This window comes from Homo sapiens, chromosome 4, assembly GCF_000001405.40.
Source record: "Homo sapiens chromosome 4, GRCh38.p14 Primary Assembly".
Taxonomy (NCBI): Eukaryota; Metazoa; Chordata; class Mammalia; order Primates; family Hominidae; genus Homo; species Homo sapiens.
The window spans coordinates 165242972-165263868 of NC_000004.12; the positions used below are offsets into that span (position 1 = coordinate 165242972).

The 20897-nt window shown below is 38.3% G+C and overlaps 1 protein-coding gene and 1 pseudogene across 12 annotated transcripts in view; both read left to right on the forward strand.

Annotated features, from left to right (window-relative positions):
• The window catches only part of KLHL2 (kelch like family member 2), a 115596-nt gene that overhangs the window by 35411 nt on the left and 59288 nt on the right, over positions 1 to 20897 (forward strand). For all 12 annotated transcript variants that reach the window (XM_047449560.1, XM_017007674.2, XM_011531572.3 and 9 more), the window contains one exon: positions 20226 to 20388. In XM_047449560.1, the coding sequence (XP_047305516.1) occupies positions 20226 to 20388 (163 nt within the window). The remainder of the gene's footprint in view (positions 1 to 20225; positions 20389 to 20897) is intronic.
• RNU4-87P (RNA, U4 small nuclear 87, pseudogene) lies at positions 9609 to 9690 on the forward strand (annotated as a pseudogene).

Genomic DNA, 20897 nt, shown 5'->3' on the forward strand with positions numbered 1-20897 from the left:
TGTGATTGAAGAAATAGGCTTAAGAAGGTTAAATAATTTGCTCAGCATCACACAGCAACTATTAAATCGTCATTAACTAGTATTGCTTACAAAGAGAGTTTATAAATTCAAAAATGTAAATGTCTTTATAACTGAAAATTTTTTTCACGATCCAAAAATTATTCAAGATACATGCTATGTCATTAGATGTGTTAATTAACACTTTTGGAGAATCCTAAAGGATCTTGAACTTCTTAAAGCATTTACTTCATTGCTAAATTTGTAGTTTTGTTACATGAGTTTGACTTCTCCGCCTTTGGGTATTTGTTTTGGCTTCCTAAAAGTAGGTAAGAGTTTTTCACTTGATGTAAGTGTTACAAACAAAGGTAATGCTGTTAATAAACAGTGCCCATGAAAGTAAATGCTTTCTATTCCTAAATTAATATTATGAGTACTCATCTACAGATTCTTTCCATATTAGAACTGTTATCATCTAGAAGAATTTGAGAAACATCTGACAGTTTTGAATGGATGGGTTTTAAAAAGTTCATGAAATATATGTTGGATGAATTGGAATTATTTGAGACGGACACTTTCTATCTCTTTAGAAATGAAACAAAATTTAAATGAGAGTTTTTCAAGGGACATCTAAAATCAATTATTGGTAATAAACAGACTAAATGTTTAACACAGTCTCAGTATAGTAGAAAATTCAACATAGTGTGTCCATTTTATTGGTGGTATAGGGCAGGTTGTTGTTGTTTTACTTCAAACCACAACTGCTAGGAGTATGCTGTATAGATAGTGTTTTACTCTGCATGTTCCCGGAAGGAGGACATCACATGGAGGGGCTTACATGGTACCAGGCCTGTTGACATAGTTGAAAAAGCTTTAAGTTGGCTTAATCAATAAAAAGCCAGCCAAAGTAGGGAAATCACCAAAACAGAATACATGTGTACCCTAAATATTTTAACCTCAAATATGTAGGTTTACAATTGTATTCCAATCTTTGTTTGTAAAACTAAGTGTGGTAAGCTGTTTCAAGAGCCACATGTCCTTTTTTGCACAAACCACACCATAATCATGCACCAACTATAATTTCCAGGCTTTTTTTTTAAGTGCAGCAAGAACTGAGACACTTGAAATCTCAATGCAAAATCTTCTATGAATTATACAGTTTCTCTTTCATTCCTCCCGTGTCTAATTGGATTGAAAACATTTATTTTTTTTCCAGTAGCACGTTGATCAAGCCACTCCAAAGCAGCCAACTTAGTTTTCATAGAAAGAGCTCTTTTTACATTCACATTTCATTGAATTCATTTACTTAAATTGTGTAATTTCAATAAGTGCAAGTGTCATAAACAGATGTGGGAGCAAATCCAACATGTATGAGTTGGTAAAATGCATCCCAGCTGGAGGAGCAGACGTGTGCAAGCACAGTAGAATGTAGTTACTGAGGGCATGGAGAGAATTGGTTCATCAGGTGAGTAGGTAAAGTAGATTTTGGTGAAGAGTGCTTTTGCTTTGTGTATTTCTATATTGTGTGGGTAAACATTGAAATGAAATTCCCATTAGGTGGAGATTTGTTTTAAAAATCTGTCTTAAAAATATTTAAGACACCCTATCAGTTAAACAGTCATTGATGGAATATCTGATAAGTACTCGGTCCTGGTGCTACAAAAACAAACAAACAAACAAACAAACAAAAAAGGAACAGGGAACAAAGCGTAATGAATAGAGTATATACTTAGACTGGGTTTGGATCTTGGCTTTGCTGTTTAAATGCCATGTGACCTTGCCTAAGTTGCTTAACCTCTGATTGGCATTGGAGCTTGAGCCAGGGATGAATAGGGCTAGGCGTAGGAGCACTGACCTGATGGAACAAGCACTCAACAAGTATTTTTTTTCTGTTTGTGTTTGTGTGTGTGTTTTTTTTGACATTTTCAAAAAATAATTTTAAAACTGAGGGTAGGCTGGGCACAGTGGCTCATGCCTGTAATCCCAGCACTTTGGGAGGGATGCCAAGGGAGGCGGATCACCTGAGCTCAGGAGTTCAAGGCCAGCCTGCCCAACATGGTGAAACCTCATCTCCACTAAAATTACAAAAGTTAGCCAGGCGTGGTGGTGCACACTTGTGGTCCCAGCTACTCGTGAGGCTGAAGCAGGAGAATCGCTTGAACCCGGGAGGTGGAGGTTGCAGTAAACGAAGATCGCACCACTGCACTCCAGCCTGGGCAGCAGAGTGAGATTTCATCTCAAAATAACAACAACAAAAAAAACTGAGGGTAGCATGCAGTCCAAACTGAAATGTTTAGAGGTGAGTTACAGATTCAGGTCTGAATGAGATGCTGCAGAGAACCTGGCCTCAGGACTTTCGTGGTGTTGGTAGTGGTGGTAGCATATACTCTTAGGCTGATGGCAGTGCCTTTATCCAGGAAGAGCTGCCCTGGGTGAACACTCAAGCCTATAGCTCTTATGTTTCTGGCTAGTCTAGAAAGAGACTTGGTAAGGGCTGGGCAATTGTAATGACCACAACCAAGTAATATTGAGATTGTGGAGGGTCTGCATTCCCGTAGGAAGCTGGGCAACAAACCCAGGATCTGGGGCTTGTTATGTGGGGCATTAGGAGTCACGCTGTGGCTTGGCAAGCATGAGGGTACTTGGGGGGCACATCACATTTAGGGCAGCAAGATTAACGCCAGACTGTAAACACTGATATGGTGCCCAATAAGCTTTGTGGTATTGGTCAGGATTAGTTTAGGACCGAATTGAACTGCACTTGAAGATCTAAGATTTGTAAGACCTGTAGCTGGATCAGGCCAGATCAGGTATGGATGAAGAACCACTTTACTGCTTTTTATACATGGCTTGCCCTTTCCCTTCCCTATATCTAAGCTGTTGAGCTTACCTCTTTTTTTCACTGCCAGTATTGATCCTGATGAATTTCATCTTTCAATCAATAGTTTACTAAATATTTATGGGGTATCTATTCTATGCCAGACACTGTTCCAACCATTGGTGTTACAATGTCAAGCAGGATAGATAAGGTCCCTGTCTTGAAAGGCTTTACATTGTAGAGGAGGGGTAGGGACGAGACAGATAATATACCCATAGATAGAGAAACAGGTGACTTTTACGTTATTCTCTGGGGAGGAGTCATTTGAGCAGAGACTTGAATGAAGAGAAGGGAGTGATGTAAAAGTAAAGGCAGATAACATTCCAAGCAGCAGGAGCAAAGGACCTGAGATGTGAATAAGTTTGGCGTGTTTTATGGGCCAGAAAGAAAAGGACGATTATTATTTGAGCAGAGTAAATGATGAGAGAGTGGAGAAAGATGAGATTAGATTAGAAAGGTAAATAGGGCCAGACAAAGTGGGTTTGTAGACTATGATAAGGAGGTTTGATTTTGTTCCAGTTGTAGTTTGGGCAGGGAATTCATGCTTTAGACAGTTTGTTCCCCTTTCCCATCTGCTAGCTGGAGGATGGACTGTGGGGGCAGTAGAAGAAGTTGGAGGCCCTTTAGATACCTGTTGGGGTAGGCTAAGTGAGAGACTAGTGGCTTGGGCCTGGGTTGTTGGCGTGAGATGGTGAACAATAGATTTGGGAGATATTTGGAGGTAGGGTCAGTGGAATTTACTAATGGATTTGCATGACGGTATGGAGGAAGGAGAATGATCAAGAATGGCTCCTGCATTTTTGGCCTGAGCAACTGGGTGGATTATAGTGCTGTTGTCTGAGATGGTGAAGACATGGGATGGGGACATATTTTTGGGGTGGTGGGAATTAATGGTTCTATTTTGGTTGTGTTAACTTTTACCAGTTGGGCTTACAAGTGGAGATGCTGAATAGGTTGGTTCTGTGATGGGAAGGGTCAGGTTAGGGAGGTAGATTTGGTGTATTGGTGGCATATTGAAGTGGATGAGGTCACTTTAAGAGGTAGTGTAGACAGAGAAAGCAAGCAAGCCAAAGACATAATCTGGGGCATTCCAGATTTTAGATGAGCAGATGAGGGAGATGGAGTACTGGTGATGTAGGAGGAAAAGCAGGTGTATGTGGTGTCACAGAATGCTAGTTCTAGAGAAGAAGGTGCTTCAAGGAGACAGTGTTTGGCTGTGTCAGATGTTCTTGATAGGTCAAGAAAGTGAATTGAGCCATATCAGTGTAGGTGTCATTACATTCGTTTGCCTGAGACAGTCCTATTTTATGCCTGCTAATCTGGTGTCTTGTCTGATTAGTGTTTACTTTACTCAGAAATGTTCCAGTGTGGATGATAAATTATATGGTCACACTGGTCATTAGTGACCTTGGGAAAAGCTATGTAGAGGTGATGGTGAGAATGAAAACTGGTTTGGAGTGGACTAAGAATAAGTGGACTCAGAGAGTACCGAAAGTTCTTTTAATGCCCTTTGCTATGAAAGGGGAGAGAATGTGCTGGCTGAAGGGGATGATGAGTTTAAGGGTGTTTTTGTTTGTTTGTTTTGTTTTGTTTTTTGATGGGTAATATTTTAAAGCATTTTTTATGTTAATTAGAATAACCTAGTAGAAAAGCGAAAGTTGATGTGATAAAGGGGAGAAAGAAACAAAGGGTATAATTGCAAAAGTGAGAGGGGTTGGCATCTAAAACAAAATGAAGGGGTTTACCTTAGATGGGAGCAGGAAAACTTCTCTGTTAACCAGAGAGAAGGCAGACTGTGTTGTTGTCAGATACAAGTTAGTGGCTTGGATGGTGGAAAGGTAGGTATTTTATCAGCTTGCATATAATTATAAAGGCTGTGGCAAGTAATTAGCCAAAAGGAAGATGAGGAAGAGGGATGCTGGAGATTTGAACTAAACATGATAAATCATTGTCTTGCAAAGGATGAAGATGAATTTACTAGTGAAGTGTAGTCGAATTGTCAGGCCATATTGGGAGCTCATTTGAGATTCGCAGTCATAAATATCAGGTAGAATGGTTGTGTGATTTTCTTCAGCCATGTTAAACCACTTAATACTTAGTATAGAGATGATGAATGTGTTAGTTAGCTATTGCCACAAAAATGCCACAGAACAAAGTATGCCAAAGCTCAGTGGCTTAATAAAAAAATCATTTATTCTTACGGATTTGCAGATTGGCTGAGGATCAACTAATCTAGGCTGAGGTTGGCTGGGTGATTGGCTCTACACCATGTTTTAAAAATTATTCTGGAATAAGAAAGTCTAGAGCAAGACTACATGAGTGGGTAGTTGAGAAAGAGTGGAGGAGGAAGTGGTAGTTGGAACTCAGGAAACCGAGATGTTCTATTTGGATGTTTATGTCATCAAAAATTGTCAGCAGTTGTGGTGGAGAGAATGGTGATTTAGGTTTTAAAAAGTTCTCTCTCTTGTGTTTGAGTTAGCATGATGACAACACTCTGGGGTGATTGTAGTACCATACTAAATCTTTGATTTAGAACCACCTGTTCCATCTTAGTATACTAGACGAAGTTGGCCAAGTAAAAAAAGTCATCTGTAAATGAGTAGGAGTGACTGAGTTGTGGTTAGATAGTCCCAATGAGGAAGGTGAGCAGACACGTGCTTCCAAGGAGCGGGGGTTTTTGGAGAAAGGAGAAAGGAAATAGCAATGGGGAGCTGCATCTCCAGGCCTTAAAGCAGCATTTTTGTTTTTCAGGTGTGGATGGTGATCAACTAGTGGGTCAAGAAATAAACTTAGTAGGTCATTATTAGCATTTAAGAGAAAAATTAGAGACAAGAGTAGGAAATGCTATTCAAGCTTAAAGTCTGTTTCAGAAGAAAATAGCAGATCCTAGCAAGTCTGCAGGTTTTGTGAAACTTTGAGTTCTAGGTTGTGAGGTAAAAAGTCTTACTATGTAGTGTGGTCAAAAGAATTCGAAAATTCAGCTATAAGTTACTTGGAGTGTGAGAGAGAAAAGTTTCATGAACAGTAGAGATGTAACTGAATATATGTTATTGTTTATGCATAAATACAGTGATTTTTATGTTATTTGTGTATATATTTTATTTTTCTAGACTGTATTCTTCAGCATGCATTTCTAGCATGGAAATACCCAACAGATGACTAATAGATGTTGACTGCTTAGATATCAGGAAGACATAGGTACTCAGTGGTAATCCAGAAAGTATACTTTGTTTTCTATGCTGGCTCATGGTGCAATTCCTGGAACAGGGCACAGAGATTCAGATGGACCTGCTTGAGATGGTGAGCAATGAAGGTGATGTCACAGTGGGGGTTAGACATCGCTTGCCCAATCTATTTCTTGGCTTTGCAGGTCTAGAAACTATTTTGTTAGCTCCTTCAGAGTTGATCAGACTTTTGGGAAATAGCTCAGAGTAGCCAAAATCAGAACACTAATACATAAACCAAAATGATCTTAAACTAATTTTCAGTGGGTAACAGGTGTTTCTAGGGACTGTGTTTACATTATCCGGTGTGCATCATTCTCAGGACCTAGATACCTAAGTGATAGAATTAGTAATCAGAGCTTCATTTGGTGAGCAGGGAATCACAAGGAAAGGGAATTTACTTCAAAGTGGTAATGGAAAGTCTTACCAAACTGGCATCCCACTGCAAAATATACCTTTCTAGTGATTTGAGTATTGATTACATACTGTGAAATCCAATGTCTCCTTACCTTTCATGGTACTGGGAAAACTCTGACAAATAATTGCTCTTTGGATAACCCATTTCTGAATTTTTTTGTAATCTGGTAGTTGTCTTTTTCTGTCCCCAAGCACTTGAGGATGTGCCAAACTCCACCAGACACAGTGGTTCATTGACACAGAGATTCTCAACTAGAGGGCAGGGTGCCCTGGTATTTTTAATTCTTATTTATCTCCTTGTGGAGATTTAATAATGTGGACCATTTTAAACCTCATGTTAAAAATAGTTTCTTTTGGCCGGGTACGGTGGCTCACGCCTGTAATCCCAGCACTTTGGGAGGCCGAGGCAGGTGGATCATGAGGTCAGGAGATCGAGACCATCCTGGCTAACACGGTGAAACCCCGTCTCTACTAAAAATACAAAAAATTAGCTGGGCGTGGTGGCGGGCGCCTGTGGTCCCAGCTACTAGGGAGGCTGAGGCAGGAGAATGGTGTGAACCCAGGAGGCGGAGCTTGCAGTAAGCCGAGATCACCCCACTGCACTCCAGCCTGGGCAACAGAGTGAGACTCCGTCTCAAAAAAAAAAAAAATAGTTTGTTCTGACAGAGACTATCACTATATATTTGATTATGTTTTGAGCTTTGTTACAGTCATATTCCAGATCTGCTCCTCCAACATTGCCCTCCACCCATTTTGAGTGGATGACCATGCTTCATTCGTAGCCACACATCTAGAAGTTGCCAAGTAGCAAGGAGTTCTGTAGAAAGTTCATCTTCAAGGTGAACAGAAACATCTACTGAGCAGTTTTTTAAAATGTTGTTAACAACTCCTCAAGGTAAAATCATTTGAATTATACGTATAATGCTGCATATTTACATTAATGTGGAACAACTCAGAAAATAATAAGGAGCCCTTAGATTGGCTTTCTAGTAAACTTCATGGCCCAGTGGACTTTGGCTAATTATAGTATTAAAATTCAGAGCTCAAATCTTGAATTTATTACTGACTTCAAGAAGGGCCTTGAGTAAGATATTAACCTTTCTGTTTCTCAGCTATTAAATGAGGCCAACAGTGCTTTGCCACTGCATTGAAATCGTGTAAAAATATACCAGTTAAAGCTTGCAAAAATATCTAAATGCTCTATAAATGTTGAGCAGAAATAAGAGATGGGCAGGAATAAAAAGACTTAAGACCAAGAAAAAGAATAACTCATTAAAATTATTTGGGATCACTGGGTAGAAAATAGCTCCTATGACTTTTCCTTCCCTCTTTATATTCTGAATCAGGTCATATAAAAAATGTCCCTAATTTGCTATAGAGTTCTCTCCCTCTTGTGCATTTGAGTTGGCATGGAGACCACACTCGGGTGATTGTAGTACCATGCTAAATCTTTGATTTAGAATCACCTGTTCCATTGGTTTGACATGTAATGGTTAGAGAAAAAGTTATGTATCTCCCAGCAGTGTCTATGGAAGGCTTATTGCTTTTCCATTTCTGTTTTCTTTCTCTTATGGGATAGAAGTCCTTTGTGAGTAAAAAAGGGTTTGGCAGATGATGTGCTTGGAAAACACAGGTTAAAACTTAAAAAAAAAAAATACATAAATTCCTGTATCAAACCTTCAGGATTAGTGGTTGTTTATGATATAACCATGGGTACTTATATCATTGTAATGAATTTATCTGACATTCTAGCACCCAGAAATCAGTTACCTTGATATTTTATCACTTTACCTGGTTAGTACTAATTTATTATTATCCAGAGGCATAAAAATTTAAATTATTTACCATTTGAGTTTTGATGTTAATTGTATTTTATTATATTTTAAGTCTGAATTTGGTAATCCTCATAGTTTTAATCAAAATATTAGACCAACTAGAACATCCATTCTCCATTCTAGTTAAATTATTTTTATTCAATATAAGAATATAGAATAAAAAAAGTCTTATTTAAAATTTAATATGGAATGGCCATTGAGGTCAGCTAGTTTGAGAAAACCTAGAAACCTTAGTATAAGAGCATCTTATAAAGCTAGATGGATACGAAACCCAAAGTGGTTTTTTTTTTTTGTTTTTTTTTTTTGAGACGGAGTCTCGCTCTGTCGCCCAGGCTGGAGTGCAGTGGCGGGATCTCGGCTCACTGCAAGCTCCGCCTCCCGGGTTCACGCCATTCTCCTGCCTCAGCCTCCCAAGTAGCTGGGACTACAGGCGCCCGCCACTACGCCCGGCTAATTTTTTGTATTTTTAGTAGAGACGGGGTTTCACCGTTTTAGCCGGGATGGTCTCGATCTCCTGACCTCGTGATCCGCCCGCCTCGGCCTCCCAAAGTGCTGGGATTACAGGCGTGAGCCACCGCGCCCGGCCCCAAAGTGGTTTTTAAAAAATTTATTGTTCGGAGCAAGGCTAGGTACTCTAGAAGCGTTAGTAATTGAGTTACTTGTGGCTTTGTATTATTAAAATATATGGTCCTTGAAGATGTCTCCATGGCTGAATCATTTTGAGAGTCACGTTTTAAGTAGTTTCATGTGGTACATAAAAGGCATTTATCTTGATGAACAAAAAAATGACTCCATCCTGATTATGATTTAGCATCTTATAACAGCATCTTTGTAATTTGAACTCGAACAAGACAAATAGAAACAAATCAAAGTCCTTACTAGAAATATATCCAGTTCAAAGTGGATTTTTTTTTTCTTGTTTGTGATGTTGTTTAGGTATGGAGCCTGTGTGTGGGATAGCACATTTGTATCAGGCTAGTTGCCAGTGTTCAGGGTACGCCTCTCCAATCCAGTCCAGGTGGTCACAGTCTAGAGTTGTTAAATTATATGTGGTTCTGGCATGTTTGGTTTGACACCAGCCAAAGGTTTTATAAACCCTAGCATTATTGACATATAGTCTTAAAAATATTATTACCTCTTGGACCTTAATGTCTTAATCTCATTGTTAGGTTAGTAAAATTAATGTGCTTCTGATAATCTGGCTTAAGTGTATTATGCCTTTTCTTAGGCTATATAATTTATGAAAACTTTATTTCTAGCTTTGTACAATGGCAGTATCATAGCCAATGAGGTTTATCTGAGGCATGATTATTGCTAATTGAAAACTTTATTTCTTGCGAAAATAGAATATAGCTATATCACTGACATGGATGCACAAGCTACTGTTTTAAAATAAGTTTATCAATGCTAGTGTAGCAATTTGGTCATGTAAATGCATTTTTGCGGGGTTGCCTCTTATTTTGGATTCTATCAGGTAGGATTATTATTTTCTATTTGAAAATTTATTTCATGGCTTATAAATGCTGTCCGTTGACCTCTGGTTAATCTATTAGTATGGATTTAAAGTACAGCTGTCCCTCAGTATCTGTGGGAGTTTGGTTCCATGACTTCCCTTGGGTACCAAAATCTAAGCATGCTCTGGTCCCTGACTTAAAGTGGCATAGTATTAATATTGGCATATAACACATGCACATCCTCCTGTATACTTTTTTATTTTTTATTTTTTTGAGACGGAGTCTCGCTCTGTTGCCCAGGCTGGAATGCAGTGGTGCGATCTCGGCTCACTGCAACCTCTGCCTCCTCCTGGGTTCAGGCGATTCTCTTGCCCCAGCCTCCTGAGTAGTTGGGATTACAGGCACCCACCACCATGCCTGACTACTTTTTGTATTTTTAGTAGAGACAGGTTTCACCATGTTGGCCAGGCTGGTCTCGAACTCCTGATCTCAGGTGATCCAACCGCCTCGGCCTCCCAAAGTGCTGGGATTACAGATGTGAGGCACTATGCTTGGCCCCTCCTGTATACTTTAAATCATCTCTAGTTTGTGTACAATACCTAATACAATGTAAATGCTGTGCAAATAATCATTAATATGGTATGGTTTAGGGCATAATGACAGGAAAAAAAGTTTGTATATAATCAGTACAGATGCACTATTTTTCCTGAATATTTTTGATCTGAGGTTGGTTGAATCCCATGGAGGGTTCACTGTACTTGATTGTTTTTCCCCTAGTGGGATATAATTTACATACTGTAGATCTTAACTGTACAGTTTGCTAAGTTATAACAAATGTACACATCTATTAATCCACACCCAAATCAAGGTATTGAGCATTTATAACCTCAGGTCTCTTCCCAATAAATCTCCCACTCCCTTTCCAGGCAACCATTGATGTGATTTCTATTATAATAGGTTAGTTTTCCCTGTTCTTGAACTTCATATAAATAGAATCATACAGAATGTATTTCTTTTAAGGCTGACTTCTTCCTCATAACATATTTGTGAGAGTCATCTATGCTGTTGTGTATTTCAGTAGTCGTCCCTGTTTATTGATGAGTATTGCATTGTAAGGGTTTATTACAGTTTAGCATGTTAATGGATATGTGTCTCCTCTGACTAGAGACGGGATGGGATCCAGATCCAGATCCAGTGCTGCAAGCTGTAGGAGTGAAGGATGCAAGGGCAGGAGCCAAGCTGTCATTAAAAAAGCCAGTAGAACACTTTCTTTACTCTGTCCACTATGTGTTAAAAATACTTGGTGTGGAAGTGTTCAGTAGTTCGTTCTGTTTGTGTCAACATTGTTTTATTATTTAAGTTTCCTGAGATCAGAGGAGCTTGTTGTCCATTAAGTTGTTCTAATATGATGATAGGTTAAAGCTGTGTGCCAAGTCCATTTAATTTTATAATAGGATTGTTTGTTATAGCAAATACTTTAGAAATGTTAGTTATTTTTAAAGCCATTATTAGTCTTTATTATTACTGATTATAACATTTCATCATGTGGATTTATCATATTTTACTTAATTGTTGCCATATTGTTAGATCTTTAGTTGGTTCTGGTTTTTTTTCTACTAAGTAATGCTAAAGTAAAAGTCATTTACGTATCTTATTCCATTTTTTGGACTTTTTTCTCAAGGTAGATTTTCAGAAACATAATTTTAGGGTCAAATGTTTTAAACGTTTATATTTTTTGGTATCTATTGATCAATGTTCCTTATTTGTTTTCTAAGACAGTTGATTAGTTTACAGTGACAGCAAAGATATGCTAAGGGCCAAGGCTTACTGTACTTTAGTTTGAATATATATTGTCTGGAAACATTTTGTTGTTTGAATTGGGAGGTGCTAGAAAGAAAAGTAAAAACATTTTGTATTGTAGTTATAAAATGCACTCTCATGGTTCTATATTCGCTTGATAACTAATGAGGCATCAAATACATTTATCATTTTTGTATGCTATGTTTCTTCTTTTGCAAATTTTCCCTGATTACATCTTTTATGTTGAGAATATTTGATCAAAAAAGGAAGCTACCTATATTGTGAATGATCTGGGATAAAACATCATCTTATGCGGGAGAGAGTAAATCTTGGTGTTCAATTCTCATGAGGTAGAATGTTCAATCCAAGAAAAAAAGCGCTGAGTCAGAGCTGATGTGCTACATGGTCATTGCCATGCATTGTGTTAAATCGTTGACTGACATTTAATTTTTCAATAACCCTGAAAGGTAGGTGGTGTCTTCATTATCCATTTGAGCCACTCTCAAATAAGTTGGACTTTTAAGAGAAACCTTGGGTTAAAAGTAGTAGAAGTAGCAACTGGAAAAAGGATAGTGTAGGAGAGATGGCTTTCAGTCTGCCTGAGGCTGCTTTGCCCCCAAATTTCTCCTCTCCATACTACCTTTGCTTTTCTACTTCATTAATTATAACATTGGAAATGCCACCAATTGCAGTTGTATTCTGCTTAAGAGTCAACCTCTCTTAAAATGTTAAAAACCCCTAGAAGGGATTTATTCTGGAAGATCTTGTGTTATTAGCCATTAATATGAGCTAATCAGACAGTTTTTTTGTGGGGAGGGGGAGGTTGTTTTTGTTTTTTTTAAACTCTGTGGGACATACCTATTCCTAGGGGTGGAGTGTTGGGAGGAGGCAGGCGAGGTTGCATGTGGGGTACAGGAAAGGAGGAGGAAGAAAGTTTCCTTCCTCTTTCTGGGATGTAGGGGGCTGGCCCGGTGCAGAGTTTTGACATAGGAAATGTTTGTCCTTGGCACTCTGCCATCTCCTTATTCATACTTCTACATCTCAAAACCCTACTCCTTGGCCGCAAAACCCAGCCCTCTGCTATGTGCATCCAACCATGACTCTCCACCCAGATCTGCCTTTCTTGTCACTAAGCGTTTCATCTTCTAAACACATCACCCTTGCCTACCTTCTCCCCACACTCCTCCCCAAGCTCCACCTTGCAGGATAGCTATGGCTAGCTGAGTCAAAAACAACAGCAACAACAAAAGCTGTCTTTTCATGCTTGCATGTTTTCTTAGATATTTAGAAGTTATATATATGTGGAGCAATCGGACCCTTTGGTAGTCTCTTCCTAATAAGCAAACTGCTAATGGCTCAGGATTTAAAAGACATACTACATAAATTATTTCCCCCTATGGAATAAATATGCAAGCTGAAAATAAACTACAGATCCTAATAGCCAAGCAGAAGGAGTATACTTGTCTAAGCGAAACATCTTCTATGTAATTTGGCTTGTCAAACAATGTGAAGTAGGATGAAAGCATCTTTACAATGTGCAGCTGGTGTGAGAGTGTCACACAGATGCTAATTGTTTGGCTTGGGTGTCTTCCATTTCTCATGCTCTACAGTGTCTTCTCTGATCAGTGGTGGCTTCTCCCCTCCGTTTCTTTGTTTATTGCAGAAAGCATCTCCACGGTAAAAAATGTGCAGCCTTTTATTTGTCTCCATTGGTTGGAAATCAACATGTACAAATAAAAAAGCTTTTTTTTCCCCGTTTTTCAAAATGACAACATTTTAAGTTAGATTTATTTAATCAGGTGCTATGTCCTTCTACTTCATGTTTCTCCAAACACTTAAAACTGTTGCTGTTCACCGAACAGGAAGAGTAACGTGTAGAGCCTGGTTACTGTTCTACAAAACACTGGCTTGATGATCAAAGGCCTTTCAGACTCCAAAGGCCTTTCAACACGCCAAAGTGAGGCAATCTCTAGTGAGTGGTGGGTAATATTTCCCGGAGAAGCCACAGTCCATATATAGCTCCCCTTAACCCTTGTTATATTTGCTAGCATTGTAGAGATCCAGAAAGAAATTTCTTTACTTGCTTCTCCCTGACTTTCTTTTAAATAATATTTGACCATTTAAATGGTACATAGAAAATGCACCACTTAACAAATACATAAAATTTAACAAATATGTAAAAATAAATAGGAAATGTTCATATCACACCTAACCAGAGATAAAACATATTAACAATTGTGGTATAGCCCTCTAATACTGTTTGTTGTTATGTACACATGTGTTTACCCAAAAAAGGGGTCATACTGTAGATTCTTTTAGAAACTAGCTTTTTATACTAAATGTATTAGAAACATTTTTCCAAGTCATTAAATATTTGTCTACTGTATCTCTTTTAAGAGCTGAAAAATATTCAATTTCATTGATATTATAGAATTGACTTTATTTTTCTCTTGTTATTGGACATTTAAGTTCTTCTCAATTTTTTATAATTTAAACAGCACTATAATTAATAGTTCTTTAGCTAAGTATATTCACATTCGCAGTTTGTTCCATTGTGTAATATAACAGCTTGGGGTCCTTCTGCAAGCAAGGCTTATGTGCAGTTCATTTATTTGGGAAGTGATCCCAAGGAGCCACAGTGAGTGAATGGAGGACTTGAGCTGGAAAGGAGGGAAAACCGGTTCATAGGTGCAGTACAGATCTGGCCATAGCTACATGTGACGGGACCTTTGAAAGCCTTATAAAATATGTCTCAGAACTGTCTTCTAGGAGAATACCAGGGGGAAGTATTTCTCTTCCTTTGATGCATTCTCCACTAGTCAAGGGTGGTCCCACAGCATTATTTCCTGCATGCTTCCAGACTGTGTGGGTATGAGCCCAGTGCATCACTGAAGGCCTAGGATAGGAAGCCAGAGAGAGGTATGGCCAGGGGCTGGGGTGAGGCCCTGTTACGTTACATCTTCAGAAAGGTGGTCAAAGCCTGCTTGGGCCTGGTTGCTGCAGTGGTGGGTTGGGCAAGAAGTAAGGCTGAGAAGATTTGTGGTAGGCTACAAGAAGTGTCTGGTACATATACATTCCTAGAAACAGAGCTTGTAATTTTGTCTCAAAGGACATGCACAATTGTATCTCAAAATAGAAATACACATGGGAGTCATAAAATTATGTTCAGGTTGATTCATTTATGAGGTACACATTCTGAGACCTGAGGATGTGGCAGGGGGTAACAGACGTGATCCTACTGCCACAGAGCTTACATTCCTTTGCAGGAAGACAGTAAACATGGGAACAAATACATAACATCAGTGCTGACAGCAGTAGGTGCTGTGAAGCAAATGAAATGGAGCAGTGCTGTTAGTAGTGACTTGAAAGGGACTGAGCCCATGGTGAGAACACCAGGGTTCTCATGATTTTAGATGGCACACAGATAAACTGAGAGTGAAGAGACTCAGGGTTCGGTTGATGGAATAGAACTAAAGGAGAAGGATGTAGGAAGGAGGGGCGAGGGCCTCTTTACATTCACTGTCCGCTTTACATTTTTCCTAGAGGCAGATGTACCCAAGAGAGATATTTTGGCTTTTGGAGTGTGGCCTTCCCTCAGTGCATACACTATATGGAATTTAATCACTCTTAGATTCTTAGAAAATATTTTTAACATTCAAAATATATATCAAATTATAATTGCTCCATCTTTGATGTTTTGGAATATACTTAAATCCAGAGAATAACAAAATTTAGGGCAGAATTTTTTTTTTCATATCATACCAAGAGTACTGTATAGAAATCCAAGGTACTGCATGATGGTCTGTGCTTAACTATGACAAAAAAAAAAAAAAAAAAGGATCATAGAGTGCCTTGGGGTTATTTTTAATCAATCTCAGGGTTAACACTAGTGCAACTCTGCACTAGATGGAAATTTCCATTAGATGGTGGCTGGGGGTTTATTGTATCAATGTAATTCTACCTCATATGAGAAGCAGCACTGTTCAACTGCTCCTTTGCTTCAGAGAGCTCAGAAAATAAGTTTCAAAGACATAAATTTATTCATTGGACCTTTTAGTTACAATGCCCAAGATATTTTTGTGACCTAAATAGCAAATTAAGAAATCACCTCTTTACATTGCTAGGTGTTTCTCACATTTGTTACCAATAGTACAATGTATCTACTTCAGTAGAAAGTAAGCCAAGGGATTATGATAGCTCCAGATTAAAGCACATTCTTCATTTTCAGTGATATGTAAAACCACAGGATCAGAATTACATTAGATATTGAAAGACTAGAATATTAAATCTGATCTCCTAAATCAGGGTTTTCCAAATTCTGATCACTTGTAATCATTTGTGGGCCAGCTTCAGGATTTTGCTATATTCTACAAGTGCTGATGCTATTAAATTTTTAATGTTTTTCTCTACAGTGAGTCAATTTTTGCTTAAATAAGTTTACTTGAGAAGGAATGTTTATATTATTGTATTATTGAAATAAATGGAAAATAACTTAAAAAAATGTATTTCTAACTATGAACCTATATTCTTTTTTTTTTTTCTTTGAGATGGAGTCTCACTGTGTCACCCAGGCTGGAGTACAGTGGTCCGATCTTGGCTCACTGCAACCTCCGCCTCCTGGGTTCAAGCAATTCTCCTTCCTCAGCCTCTCAAGTAGCTGGGATTACAGGTGTGCACCACCATGCCCAGCTAATTTTTGTATTTTTAGTAGAAACGAGGTTTTGCTATGTTGGCCAGGCTGGTCTTGAACTCCTACTCCTGACCTCAAATGCTCTGCCCACCTTAGCCTCCCAAAGTGCTGGGATTACAGGTGTGAGCCACCAAGCCTGCCCTGAACCTATATTCTTAACTATTAATGCAAGAAGTTTATCTGTATGTCATCTAAAATCATTATGCACATTTTGGTTAGTACCGCTCTCATAGCAGGCTTGGCCTGTCCCATACCAGGTGTGTGACCTTTAGCAAGTTACCCAACTTCTCCTACCCTCTGTATTCGCTTGTGTATGATGGAGATAATGAGATATTATTGTCTGGCAAGTGCTTAGCACAGTGCCTGATGTAGTAATTACTCAGTAAATGGAAGTAACTGCAATAATGCATTGTTGAAGTGGTTGTTGTCTTTATTATTCTTCATGAAAAGGACAGTGTTGGAGATTTAGAAATTATACAAATACTTCCATTCTGCACCTAAATTTGGGGTTGAAGGTATTAGAACAGTAGACCAAAGAGCTGACCAATTTGATTATATCCCTAGCTTTCCATGACTCGCTGTATGACTTGGTCAAGCCGTTTAACCCCTCGAGGGTGTGGTTTCTTCATCACACAAATTAGAAGGTTTGATTTGATTTGATCTCAAAACTTTCAGCTTGCAGGGTGACAGCTGTTTGAGTGGTTTTGATCATGGGATGTGGTTCATCTGAAGTCAGAGCATTTTAAATTTTGTTTTAAGTGGCTGTTTGGCACCCAAAATAAGCTAGGAGTTGATGTGGCCCCAGCTGTTTTCCTGTTTTCATTATCAGTGACTGATGGTCACCAGGCGTCATGTTAGCAAGCTGGGTCAATTAGTAATTGCTTTTGAAGCTGTATATAATTAATTACATAATTATGAGCTATTGAAGTTTAGTCCTAGTAAAACTACATCATAAAACCAAGGCAATTTCAAAAGATTTACTGACAAAAGAAAAATATGAACAAACTTTTTGTACATTTGACTTACATTTATTTTATGTTTAGCATATATTTGTCAAGCATGTAACCACGTTTCACTGTCATCAAAAAAAATTATATGTGAATATAATCTAGCCACATGGACCACTGTTGAAATAACTTTATATTTCTACCTAGATGACTTGTTATGCCCCTTCCAGATAGGAGAATCTACAATTTTATGAATTTCGGTCTCCTAATACGGTAGATCTGAACTTGGTAATGATTAAGTTGAAATCAATAAAGCAAAATGAAATTTTAAAAGCCTGCTACACACACATATATGTGTGTGTGTGGGGGGGGTGTATATGTTAGCATAATATACCAACGACTAATTTTTTTTTCACTCAGGAATATATTTTAGAAATTATCTCATTTATTAGTTTCCTCTTTCGTTTGAATGACTGCAATTGAATGGATGATTCCAATTATTTGATCAGTCTCCTTATGATGGACATTAAAGGCTTTTTTCTAACTTCTATTAGCCACAATAATGCTGTAATGAATATCTTGTGCATGTGAGATTTTGTGCATATGTTAGCATATCTATAGGTTAAATTGCTGGGTCAGAGGACATGTGCATTTGTAATTTTGAATTTGAAATAAACAAATTGTTCTTCATGGAGGTTGGACCAATATGTGCTCCCACCAACAATGTGTAAGTGAGCCTGTTTCCTGCCCAACCACTTTTTCCTCATCGTTCTGTGTGACCAAACAATTTAAGTATTATACTGTTTTCTCTAGGAAAATGCTAATTAGAGGAGTGATCATACTATTTGTGCAGATTTCACAGAGATTGAATTTTACACTGAAGACCACTTTCTAAACTATATGTAGAAATTTAATTTGCTGAATTAAATGGCTGTACTATTAAGCATCTTGGAACGCACTTTATGTTGCTTCAGAGCGCAATTACACTGGCATGGAAAAACCTGCAATTTGAAAATTATCAACAAATTAAAGCCTTCTGTGGATATTCATTCTCATAACATAATGAAACCTACTATACATATCATGCAAAAAGTTTGGCTGTAACGTTATTTATACTTTATTTTCTATTTTTATTTTTATTTTTTGAGACGGAGTCTCTCTCTGTCACCCAGGCTGGAGTGCGGTGGTGTGATCTCGGCTCATTGCAACCTCTGCCTCCAGGGTTCAAGTGATGCTCCTTCCTCAGCCTCCTGAGTAGCTGAGACTACAGGTGTGTGCCACTACACCCAGCTAATTTTTGTATTTTGAGTAGATTGGGCTTTCACCATGTTGGCCAGGTGGTCTCAAACTCCTGACCTCAAGTGATCCACCTGCCTCGGCCTCCTAAAGTGCTGGGATTACAGGCGTGAGCCACCACGCCTGACCTATTTTTCTTAAACTCAGAAGGAAAAGGCCTTATGTCTGGATACTGTTTCTATTTTTTCTTGAGCCTTTAGATTCAGGAGTTAAAGCTTCTGTGCTTCCTTTAAGAAGGTAAGAAGTTTGTTACAGAGAGATGTGAATGATGTCTTTCTTTTCTATGTTTAGGACTTACTCCATAGATTTAGGAAAGTCATAACATATAGTCATAAACCACTATTATTTTTCTGTCTTTGGGCTGCAGTGTGGCATATATGAAAGTCAATTTCTGAAGGAACTTAGATCTTTTTTTAATGCTAATGTAGTCTTTTCTAAAATTTACCATTGTTCGAATAGTTGAAGGTTTTTTTGTGGGGTTTCTTTGGCTTTTATAAAGGATCACCAGAATTCGATAACCTTTTTTTGAAGTTTTTCTCCTTAATTTGACTTTCAAATATGGTCCTTTATATAACACTGTAATAATTCACTTACAAGGAAAAATGTTTTTCTATTATTGACTTATTTGAAAAGCACTTGTAGTGTTGGATATAGTATTCATAGTGAAGATAGTGGTTCAATCCCACAGAATAACCTATAATTAATATAAAATTGCTTGGAGTTACTCAAATAAAAATGCAAATTAAAAAGTTATTAGATAATCACCTATTACATTTTCCTTGTTAGCACATATATTACATTCTAGAGAAACTGTCTGCTTATAGGTAGAGACTGTTGTTGAACTTTAAATTGTTCTACCCCGTAAGGAAAGCAGTTGTTATGATACTCATACAGTGGAAAAACAGGCCTTCAGCAAAATGAGGCTTTGTTGTGATATGGATTACTCTGGGGCCACTCCTTCCCCACAGATAACTGAAGTGCATGACTGCTTGAACTAAGAGAACAAAACCATTTTCATTGAATCATAGCACCCCCTAGCATCCTAATAATTTACGGGCTTTTGTTGTTGTTGTTTTGTTTTGTTTTTGAGATGGGGTCTCACTCTGTCACCCAGGATGGAGTGCTGTGGGGTGATCACAGATTACTACAGCCTCGACCTCTCAGGCTCAAGTGATCCTCCCACCTCTGCCTCCTGAGTAGCTGGCACTACAGTTGCGTGCCACCACACCAGGCTAATTTTTATATTTTTTGTAGAGATGAGGTCTTGCTATGTTGCCCAGCCTGGTCTCAAACTTCTGAACTCAAGCGATCCTCCTGTCTTGGCCTCCCAAAGTGCCGGGATTACAGGTGTGAGTCACCATGCCCTGCCAAGAATTTGTGTTTTTAGAAGTCAAAATAACATTTTGTTTATGCTTATGAAACAAACCATTAATCTTATAAGATCTGATATCTCATATTCTTCTGACCAAGGAGAAGAGGCCTTTGAAAGATTACATGGAAATTATGGGGAATGTGAAGAGTCATCATTGTTATTAAAAATAATTTTTATATTTGTTTTCTAGGGAATATGGGGGTATGGACGCAGATAATAAACTATGGCTGAACATCTTGTGTCCTATGTAGAAGTGGTCAAAGAGGCAGTGTTTTTCCACCCAAGTGCCTAAGAATATTGATGTGTGTGTTGCAGGTACTTCTCCCAGCAGCTGGTCTCTTACAGTTACAGGATGTGAAGAAGACTTGTTGTGAATTTTTGGAATCCCAGCTTCACCCTGTCAACTGCTTAGGAATCCGGGCTTTTGCTGATATGCATGCATGTACCGACCTTCTGAACAAGGCCAACACCTATGCAGGCAAGTGGAGTAGACCTCAGCTGAATTTGGGAGGAAACTGCTTGGTTTTTGATATGATTCCACAGTGGTCTCTGGAAAGTCATGTCATATTTCTGGATCTGGGCTTTATAAAAATACATTTAAAATCTTATAATGGTCACACTGCATAACTGAAGCATACTCATAAAATTCTGAACTTAAAAAGCAAGCAACTATACATTGGGATTGGGCCTGAATAATAGAATAGCTAGGAATAGCTAGGTTTTTTTGTTTTTTTTTTTTTGAGACGGAGTCTTGCCCTGTCACCCAGGCTGCGGTGTGGTGGTGCAATCTTGGCTCATTGCAACCTCCGCCTCCAGGGTTCAAGAAGAATAGCTGTATGTATTTTTCTTTCAAATTGTTAAATGAATAGGCATATGAGAAAGTATATGCATGTGAAGTTATTTTAGCTCTGATTTTTTACATTGTTTTTTTTTTTTTTTTTTTTTTTTGCATCCATGAAAACAATTTTGTGGCTTAAAAAAATCTTC